The sequence below is a fragment of the Homo sapiens genome, chromosome 3 (genome assembly GCF_000001405.40).
Source record: "Homo sapiens chromosome 3, GRCh38.p14 Primary Assembly".
Lineage (NCBI taxonomy): Eukaryota > Metazoa > Chordata > Mammalia > Primates > Hominidae > Homo > Homo sapiens.
Genome location: NC_000003.12, coordinates 69,958,214 through 69,969,208, shown reverse-complemented (window position 1 = coordinate 69,969,208; position 10,995 = coordinate 69,958,214). Strand labels below are relative to the sequence as shown.

The window sequence follows — 10,995 nt, the reverse complement described above, 5'->3', positions numbered from 1 at the left end:
TGCAGATCCCCCGGAGATGAAAAGCCCCAATTTTCAACTTACTTGCTTTTGATTTTGCCCAGAATATTCTCTCTTGTTCCAAAAGGAAATCTTTCTACTTTTACATGTTTTTAAGGGATCCTACAGTTATACTTCTAGGGAAAATATAAATAATTCAAATAGGTCTAAAAAAGAAAGGCCTTGATTATTGTATATTACAATTTAAGAAGAAAATTAAAAGTAGGAAAAAGCTGACAGTCAGATCAGAAGCATTACAGGAAGTTTCTTGCTCATTTTCTCCAGAGGTTAAGCCAGAATATATTTTTTAAAAGGGCAGAAGTTTAAGGTCTAGCTAGGGAATAAAGACATGTTTTGTCTGACACTTCCCAATTCAAATCCAACATTTATCAAATGATTCTTAAGTAGTGTATTAAAAAAAAAAGGCAACCAGGAGCTGGCAGCCTGGGTATATTAAGCTTTCATTATTGTAAATTTGTATTTTAAAAACCCAATATCTTTTCTGTAAATATGCAAGGGTTTCTCTGACAATTTCTCTTTTTTAAAGCCACCTCTCAATGAAACATTTTAAATAAAACTCCTATATCTAAAATGAAGTCTTGGCATTTGGGAGTTTAAAATCTCCCCAAATTCAGAGGGGGATAAAAAAGGTGCATAATTACACCTCATCTGAGTGTAAGTCAAAAAGTAATCAAAAATGTTTAAAACCAAAAAGTAACATCTTAGAGTGGCATTTTAAACAAAAAAAGTACTTACTGGCATTTTCTAAATTTTCATGCAATTTGTTATTCATTAAATCAGAAGAAAATGTGCACTACCATTTTTTGATATGGCAGATAGCATTCAAAATTGGCATTAACACAATAGGCCACCACTATGTGAAAAACCAAATGCTTTAATGAGGCTATCAAGAACAAGTCGATTATTTCATTGGATACATTAATATCGATCCATAATATACAGTGCTATGGACCATACAGAAATTATTGCTGCATCCAACAGCAGGTGACTATTATTAACATTACAGTACCAAGCATCCGCAAGAGACAGTCATTTGTCATTTTTTATCAAGAAATAGGGCTGTTTTATACTGTTATTGACATCAACTTTTTCCCAGTGCATTTTTCAAAAATATTAATAAGTTCATTCCTTTGTGCTTTTAACTTCCTATGTATTGTATTTGTTCTTATTGCTTTATTGTTTAAAAACAACCAGAAAGAATTTTGTCATCCTATGTATGACCAGGTTGCTTGTATGCTTTTTGGCAAAGTCAGAAGGTTTGGTATTTCCATTGCCCTACTCAGAGGCAGATGGACAATTTTGGCATTTTGGTCACTCCATATAGAGGCCCAACCCCGAGTTACAATTCTGCACCCGGGAATCGGGGGAGTGGTGTGGATCATTTTCTTGTTACAAACAACAAGCCCAAACCACTGCCTCTTGGCTTAGCTAGCCCCTGAAATGAATCCACACTCTATTTGGCAAAAAAGAAATAAATAAAACCACCCCCAAGATTGCAGCATTCTCCTGGGCTTGCTCACCTGCCACCTGCAGAAATTGTCTCTTAAGGAGAAGGGGAGGGGGAGGCAGGCAATGGCAAGGTTAGGAGTTGTGACAGTCAGGGCAGTGGTACAAGATGCCATACTTTCTTTCAACAAAGCTTTCTATATGGTTGCTTAACCATGGTCCTGTTCCCGTGGCCGTAGGTTAGTCAACCTTGCTTTATTTTTAAAAACCCTCAAAATCAGCTAAGGAAAACTAACATCATAGCATCACGATCTTCAACTTTTGCATCCAGCGCCCTCCCCCCCATATAAATATGAAGAGAAAAATAGACAATGCTATGATTGTATCAATGAACACTATGGTACAATTAGCTGTTCATGCAGATTTGCGTCACTATTCTAGGAAAAGAGCTATACAGTTAAGGGGGTTGAAAGAATGGGAACTAATTTTCCCTACCCCCTTAAGAAATAAAGCTATAAAACTGATAGCATCACCAATGTTTCCAAGGATTCTCATTGCCCAGCGTGCATGGGAACTATGCAGTTGATTATTTTCACCTAAACCGTCCATTCACACATCTGACGATCACTCCTCTCTGAACCCTCCATCACCCATCACCAATTCACATTTGACATTTAAACACTTTTTAAAAACCCTCCTGAATAAGGTTTCCTGATGAAAGAAGTTGGCACTCTGTCACTAAAATATATTTAATATTAAAAATATCTGAAGGAAAATTGGAAGCTCTTATATTGTCTACATAGGCACCATGCTACATGTTCGTCTTGACTATAGATACCATCATGAAACTTTCCCCTACATTACAGTTCAGTCAGTGCTAGTCCAAAAAAGACTACTGCTATATTTAAGGCACTTCATTCTGAATGGATATGCTTTATGCCACTTGCTATTCAGTTGTAGGCTGCTACTGAGAAATTCCATTCAACAGCCTGGCTCATAACACTATATGGCATCTGTATAAAACATCTAGGCTTGATACATGTAACACTACTGTTATTGCATAGGACTACACAAGTAGATAATGCACTGAAACTAACTTTATAACATTGCTTCTTGTTAAAACATTGTTATCAAGTAACAGTAACTTCCCAATACAGTATTTCTTTCTTAAAAATAAATTCAACAAGTTTGCTGAAATAAACCCCAATTTAAATGACCATAATGGGCGTATTAATGCTATGGTTATCAATCTCCAAGAATATTGCTATTTTCATGTCCTAAAAATAAATATGTAAGTTTATTCTTTCTAGAAAGCCTGGTTTTAACCTATTAATACTACACCTTAAATGTGTCCAAAAACAGTTCTGAGTGAGACTGTAATTTACAAAATATTCGCAAAGCTGTCTTTTAAATGCAAGACCTTGCATAAAAGTTTTCTTTCATGGGTGTACAAAGAATGCGGAAAACCACCAGTGAGTTGTAAAAATATGGAAAACTTGCCATTTTAAGATGCATATTCTTACAAATTAATACAAATATATTGAAAAGAACAATGATAATAAAGAATCTGTACAAATCAAATGAACAGTAAAACATAATTTAAAAATAAAAATAGTAAAGCCAATTAGAAATATGCCCAGTTCGGTTTTCTTATCAAAAGCAAAAATAAAATAAAAAAAAAGTAAAACATACTTTCAGTGCTCCTCAATATTTTACTTTGAGAGGACATTAATTTCCATTTCAAAATAAAATATCTTATGAAAAACTGGATCACACTCATTGATGAAGAAAACTGTAACAGCACAGAATAAAAGAGAGCAAGATTAGACTTTATATTTCAGAGCCTTGGTCTAACTCCCTTCAGTTTCGGTTGGTATCAGTTATGTTTTCTAACCAGACGATCCTCATGAAAAGGCCGCATTTTTTTTTTCTTTTACAGAATACATATTTCTTTAAATAGTTTGCAGTATAAAGACTAAACAAAGCTAGAGGGGTACTGTATCTTTAAGGCAGTACCAATGAATCAATACATTTATAAAATGGAAAAGGGTTAGTATGGATTTCTTTTCCTCTTTCTTTCTTTTTTTTTTTCTTTTTGGTTGCTTTACATTCTTTCAATTAAACTTTACATTTGATTTCCAAGGAAGTCACAGGCATAAAAATCTCAAATCAAGTTTCCCCTGAATAAAAATGGACAGACATTTCTCTGACGCAAAATCCTCTTGCTCAGAAAGCTAAAGTCTGTGGTGAATTCAGTTCACAGATACTGCACACTTATTTGTACAATACTTTGGAGGCATTTGTAGTTGTAAAATAGAATATACAAGTCTGTTTCACAAAATTCTAAAAATAAAATATATCCTGGGCTATTGATAAAGCATGAAAAAAAATTTCATATTAAAGGAAAATTATCAAGAAAACCCCTTCAGGTAAGTTATTAAATCTACGAATCAAGAAAGGAAGCAGTTTGTGCGAATGCAGTGCAGGGAGGATTCGCTAACAAGTGTGCTCCGTCTCTTCCATGCTCATACTGCTCCTCCGGCTGCTTGTTTTGGAAGCTCCGGGGGACACTGAGGAAAGGAGTGGATCAGTGACACCGACGGGAGAAAGGGTGTCGTCCATCAGGATGTCTTCCAGTTTGGATCCCATTTTTGTGGGGACACTATAGGCTTGGTTGGCCTCAGTCCCAGTTCCGAGGTTGTTGTTGAAGGTGATGGTGCCATCCGTGAGATCGAGAGTTGTTGTACAGGTTAGGTCTGCATGATGCTGAAGGAGGTCTTGGCTGCAGTTCTCAAGAACGGGTTCTTGCTTGATGATCCGATTCACCAAATCTGGAGAGCAGAGACCCGTGGATGGAATAAGGGAAAGTCCATGAGCTCGAGCCTGCATTTCAAGTTCCTATAATAAGAGTAAAGATAAAACACTGAAATAGGCAGAGCACAGAGGACTTTTAAGCCTGTGAAACCACTCTATATGATACTATAATGGTAGATGCGCGTCATTAGACATTTGGCCAAACCCACAAAATGTACAATACCAGAGGGAATGTAAAGTATAGACTTTGGAGGATAATGAAATGTCACTGCGGGTTCATTGATTCTAATAAATGTGCCACTCTGGTAGGGAATGTTGATAATGGGGAAGGCTGTGCGTGCTTGGGGGAATGAGGTGTATGGGAAATATCTGCAGCTTCATTTCAATTTTACTGTGAACCAAAAACTGTCCTGAAAAATAAAGTCTATTTTTAAAAATCAGATACTTGGAAAACAATAAATCCTCAAAATAAAAGTTTTTTGTTCTTTTAAATTAATGAGCTCTGTATGTTCTAAAGTATAGGAGAAGTACCACTGGCAGTATGTGAAATAAATTTTTAGGTGTTTTATAGATTTGATTATGTATGAAAAATAGAGATGGTCTCTCACAGATATTAATGTTCACACTGAGGATAAGTTAAAAAATACAAAAATAAAGTTTTAAATGCGAGCTGATAAAAGAAAAATATTATTTGGGAGGCCGAGGGGGGCGGATCACCTGAGGTCAGGAGTTTGAGATCAGCCTGGTCAACATGGTTGAAACCCCGTCTCCACTAAAAATACAAAAATTAGCCAGGTGTGGTGGCACATGCCTGTAATCCCAGCTACTTGGGAGGCTGAGGCAGGAGAATCGTTTGAACCTGGGAGGTGGAGGTTGCAGTGAGCCGAGATTGCGCCATTGCGCTCCAGCCTGGGCTAGAAGAGTGAAAGACCATCTCAAAAAAAAAAAAAAAAAAAAAAAGAAAAGAAAAAAGAAACATATTCAGTAAAGAGTTCATGGTCCTTCAGCTTTCATGGTCCTTCAGCTTTGCACTGAGGTCCCCATGTGTGCTGCAATGAACTCACAGAGCACTGGAGATAGCCTAACATTTCAAGGGCAATGGCAATACTACCTGAGAACTACTAAACTCAAGATAGTTCTCTTCTAGCATCAGACTGTGCTATATACTTTTCAACCACATGATATCATTGCAAAGTTGAGCTTTTGGCAGTTGCTGTGATTGAAGGAAAACAAGTGCCACATGAACATCATTGTGGCCTGGGAAACAAGGGCGATGGGGTGATGGTGTCCAATCTGATTCCAAGACTTTAGAAGTCGTGCAGTGCCCAACAGACACACACATCCAGTTAGTAAGTAATATGGTTATTTAATAACAAAATAAAAATGCTATTTCCTTTCAATTTATATGTTTTATTTTTTCAAATGGCTACCAAGTTGTTAGAACCTAAATACTTAATAAGTTGTTCGGACCTAACAAAAAGAGTAGGTATTTCTTTTGGTCTAGGGGGATGGTAAAAAGATTGCTAAAACACTAAGAGTGCCATGAAGTAAAAAATTTGGGTAGTGATAGCAAAAGCTGTGAAAGTTCTATGCCAGTAACTAAAGTTTTAGAAGCATCATTTAGCCCATCTCACCATGGCAAAGGGGAAGTATTTTTTTAACTCAACAAGTACGTTCTCATCTATAAGATGAACAATTTTTTTCCTTTCCTTCCTCACATACATTCCTATTATTGGCTAAATTGTGTCCTGGAAAACATTTGAATGTTGAAGTCCTAACCTTAGTACCTTGGAATGTGACTGTATTTGGAGATAGGGCCTTTAAAGAGGCAATTAATTTAAAAAGAGATTTTACTAGTGGGCCTAAACCCAATAGGACTGGTGTCCTTGTAAGAAGAGGAGATTGGGACAGACACACACAGGAAAAAAGACCATGTGAACACACAGGGAGAAGACAGGCATCTACAAGCCAAGGAGAGAGGCCTCAGAAGGGACCAACCCTGCTGACAACTTGATCTTGGACAACAACTAGCCTCCAGAATTATGAGAAAATAACTCTTGTTTACCACCCAGTCAGTGGCATTTCACTACAGCAGCACTAGCTGGGTAATACACTTCCTAAATACCCTTGATTCCCCCTGTAACTCATTGCAAAATGCCTTCCAAGCAAGCTCTTTCCCTTTTTCCTTTCTGAGTGTATCCCTGGGCACTCCTAAAATGAACCACACAGACTTTAATTGATTCCTGATAAGCATTCTGCTTCTCCATTCCAATGCTATCCCTTCCACGGTTGTGAAACAATAATATATAGCAAGAGAATATAAATTTGAAGCAAGTCACCTTTCCTTATCAGAGAGGGGAAGGACTCTCCATATGACATGGCCTCTCAACCTCTGCCCACAAGCTGAGAAACATATGTGCCTGCAAAGCCACGTTTCAGTCTAAATTCAAGGTTTTTGGGTCTGCAAAATCCTTCTTTGGATACAATATGAGTAAAAGCCAGGAGCTTGACATGTCACACAAGTACCTTCAAGTTCCTTTACATAATCTCCAGAAACACAAGTTTCTTCAGGCACCATTTGAAAGCCCTGGGCTATTTAATAAAATGGCAGTTCCACTGACATAAAGGATTCATGCTCTTTCTTCTGTGAAAACTTTTGCATGCATCACTTAGAGTGAAAATGAAAGAAAGCCCTTAGGCCCATACTGAAAACATGGACTCTTGTAAATCTACACCAACATGCTAATAAGAACAGTACCTCCACACAGGCAGATTGTCTTTTCAGAAAAAGAATAATAAAGTTGGATTAAGAGAGGCAAACATCTCACTCTAATCCTTTGTTGTCTAATTAAAAATATTTATCAGCGATTAAAGCATTACTCAGATTTCTAAATAAGGTGATAAATCTCATCTAGAGAACTCTGGCTTAATTGCATCACAGAGCTTTCCTAATTAATAATGTTTTCTGTGATATGCAAAAGTTCTAAAGGCTGCCTCACACCGTCACTGGAAGAAAACCAAGATATCGTCACCATGGAATTTCCAATGCACATATTTCACAATATTCGTATTTCATATGAATATACATGTTTGGAACCCTAAAATAAAACAAAACCTAGCTTCTCTTTCAAAATAGTTATTACATTTTAATACTTGTAGAAGGAAACAACACATTAGTACAAGCTGCTTTTTTTTGTTTGTTTTTTGAGACGGAGTCTTGCTCTATAGCCTAGGCTGGAGTGCAATGGCACAATCTCAGCTCACCGCAACCTCTGCCTCCCGGGTTCTCCTGCCTCAGCCTCATGAGTAGCTGGGATTATAGGCATCCACCACCATGCCCAGCTAATTTTTCTTTTCTTTTCTTTTCTTTTTTTTTTTTTGTATTTTTGGTAAAGACAGGGTTTCACCATGTTGGCCAGACTGGTCTCGAACTCCTGAACTCGTGATCCACCCACCTTGGCCTCTCAAAGTGCTGGGATTAGAGGCGTGAACCACCGCACCCGGCCACAAGCTGGTTTTATTTTTATTTTTATTTTTTTGTTTTTTTTTGAGATGGAGTCTCACTCTGTCGCCTAGGCTGGAATGCAGTGGCGCGATCTTGGCTCACTGCAACCTCTGCCTCCCGGGTTCAAGTGATTCTCTGCCTCAGCCTCACGAGTAGCTGGGATTACAGGCGCCCGCCACCATGCCCAGCTAATTTTTCTATTTTTAGTAGAGATGGGGCTTCAACATCTTGGCCAGGCTGGTCTTGAACTCCTGATCTTGTGATCCACCCGCCTTGGCCTCCCAAAGTGCTGGGATTACAGGCGTGAGCCACGTGCCCGGCCCACAAGCTGCTTTTATAAATAGGCAGACTATGTTCGAGAGATTAAATACCTATAGCTACTTATTGAAGAGACAGAACATAAAACCAACAACAAAAGCCAAAGTAGAGGAGGGGAGGGGAAAGGAGGGCTTTCAAATTACACACTACCTCTACTTCACTACCCAGAATCTAAAATGCACCCCAACAGGGAAGTGGCTTCCCACCTCCCCACCCCACAGCTGAGGAATCACTGCAGTGAATGAGAGATGTGGCATTTCAAAATATAAGCATTCAGAAGACTGGAGACCATTATTATAAGTGAATTGCTCTGTTTGAAAAGTTCAACGTCCGGGAGGAGCACCACTAGGTGAAACACAATGGTCGCTAGGGTGTCATACTTCTCATTGCTGTTTCGTAAAATAACTCCATGAATAGTTGCACTGGAAAAGTTGAAAGACAACCCTTGCTTTATGGCAAAATCTAGTAAAAGGTGGGTCAGCCTACTCAAGAAGAAGATATGGTGTCACTGACTCTTACAGATAGGTTGTGTTCAAAGTCAGCAAATTAAAATTACCCTCACAAACCCCCTTTGGTCCATAACAGGGAGTCTGTTTTTGAGGATCATTTCAGAGGAAGTAGTGCCCTTTCACTCAACAAGAGACGCCAAGCCCCTGAGAGAAGTTCCAGGAGTTGATACCAAAGAGGAATTCCCCATCTCCGGCTTACACTGGTGCATATACCCACTGAGTAGGATGACGCACAAATGGCACATATTAATAAAATTAGTATGTCTTCTTCTAATGGTGTATAGTTTAAGTTAAAGATATATATGCTATAATTCCACTATTTATAACTATCTCCAGGAATTATGTCCTTAATATAAGATCCTCTGGGTGTTCCCAAGTTCCCTGTAAACACAGATTTTGACCATCAACTGCTTCCCGGACCCTACAAATACTAAGGCATCTTCTTGTTTAACGTGGTATAGTCAGTACTTATTTTTTTTATGTTCTACAAAGTCACTGTGAACACTGAATTGGTGAACACTGAAGCACTGTTCCCAGGGGAATTACAAGTTAGGTTCCTGTGAGACCCTAGTCACAACACTTAATCTTGTTTTATGTATGTTTCTGTTGAAGGTCACCTTATGTAATATATGTTGTTGACTCATGAATATTAAACTCACAGCCAATAGCACTGTAGCTCATGCCTGAACGAAGCTTATCCAACACATGTATTTTCTCTGTAAGCACATCACGGCCTTCTTGCCCTCAGGAACTCTAGACAGTGCTTTAGCATTATGCTTGGGGGTCATTTTAAACAGCGAAATCACCAACAGAAACCACAAAAATGTAGAAAGTACTCAACAGACCACGAAAGGAGCACTTGTTTAGAGGATGAGAGCTGAAACAAGACAGCAGACAGTCAACCTCAGGCAGGGTCATTCGACCTCACCTGGAAATGCGTGCCATGGGCAGCTCAAACGTGCCACTCTGCACATGTCCAAGAATGACTGTGGAAGTGCCACAGATACTGACTTTGGGGTTACAAGTAGGCAAATTCACACACACAGAATCCACAAATAATAAGGATTGACTGTGTTAGGATCACGTAAGTCAACTCCCCTATGGCTCATTATATCCCTGTTTCTACTGTCTTGAAGTCGGTAAAAAGCAGTAAACTTTACACAACTCAGGCTGCGTACCTGTATTCTGAGCAACAAATGCCGGTTGGCGTGCTCCAGTTTCTTCTGTCGGTTTTCAAGTTCTTTTGCGCGTTGCTGTTCTCGTTGCAACTTTCGGATATAGTCCACGGATGCTTTTAAGATGGTTCCCTTGTTCCAGCGCATGTCTCTGCGATGAAAATGGAGGAAAACAGATATTTTTAGGATTTGAGGCTCAATGAAAATTCAATATTCAAAGCACTCCATTTCTTTTTGAACTTTTTAAAATTTTTTTTTATTTCAATAGTTTTGGGGGAACAGGTGGTGCTTGGTTACATGGATAAGTTCTTTAGTGGTGATTTTTGCGATTTTGGTACACCCACCACCCAAGCCGTGTACACTGTACCCAACGTGTAGGCTTTTATCCCTCACCCCCATCCCACCCCCTCCCTCCCTTCCCCGCAAGTCCCCAAAGTCCATTGTATCATTTTTAAAAGCATTCAATTTTAAAAATAAAATAATCATACATTAATTATAGCTGCCATTCACGAGTGTTTGCCACGTGCCTAGTGTTGCCCACCCAGTTTGTACACATTGTCTTACTTAACCCAGACAAGCACCTTGTAAGAGAGAGACTGTGCACATGTTGAAACAGACACAATTCAACTTGTCCTAGGCCACACAGTACTATATGGCAGAGTCAGGACTTAAAGTTAGGTCTGTTGATTACAAAGTCAGTTTCCTTAAACACTATGTTAAAGAGTTATAGGTTTCTAAAACTACAAAAGTTAACTCAGTGAGAATAAACGATGGTAAAACAGATCTGTGAGATCTCACTACTAAATTGTTTATGGCATAAACTCAGCATCCTTCTATTTTTTTTTTTTTTAATCAAGGATTATCATGGGCAGGCTATCTAGCCTCTCTTTGTCCATTTCCTCATCTACAAGTATCAGGTGGAACCGGTGAATGGAGGGTCATTAAACAAGTCACCAAGTAATTGATCCTCATCTGGGTTACATGAAGAACAACACAGAAGTTCTCCCATAAGAGGGACAGTTCCAGCCCCCAGAGAATTCCCTGGAGTTGATCCCTGGGGTCTGAACACCAAAGATGGCAACCCAGGGGAATGTCCTGAGATACCCACAGTGAGCGCAGAGACTTAATATTCAGAGCTAAGATCAAAGTAAGAGAAGTAACTTTAGCAGCCAGAGAGAAATGTAGTTAAAATAAATGATGCTTCACATAG

At 38.8% G+C, this 10,995-nt stretch overlaps 1 protein-coding gene across 12 annotated transcripts in view; it reads right to left on the bottom strand.

Moving 5' to 3' along the window:
• Window positions 877-10,995, bottom strand: part of MITF (melanocyte inducing transcription factor) — a 228,869-nt gene continuing 218,750 nt past the window's right edge. For all 12 annotated transcript variants that reach the window (NM_001354607.2, NM_001354608.2, NM_001354604.2 and 9 more), the window contains 2 exons: window positions 9,789-9,936; window positions 877-4,362 (listed from right to left, as the gene is read on the bottom strand). In NM_001354607.2, coding sequence (NP_001341536.1) covers window positions 3,961-4,362; window positions 9,789-9,936 — 550 coding nt within the window. In that variant the 3' untranslated portion in view covers window positions 877-3,960. The remainder of the gene's footprint in view (window positions 4,363-9,788; window positions 9,937-10,995) is intronic.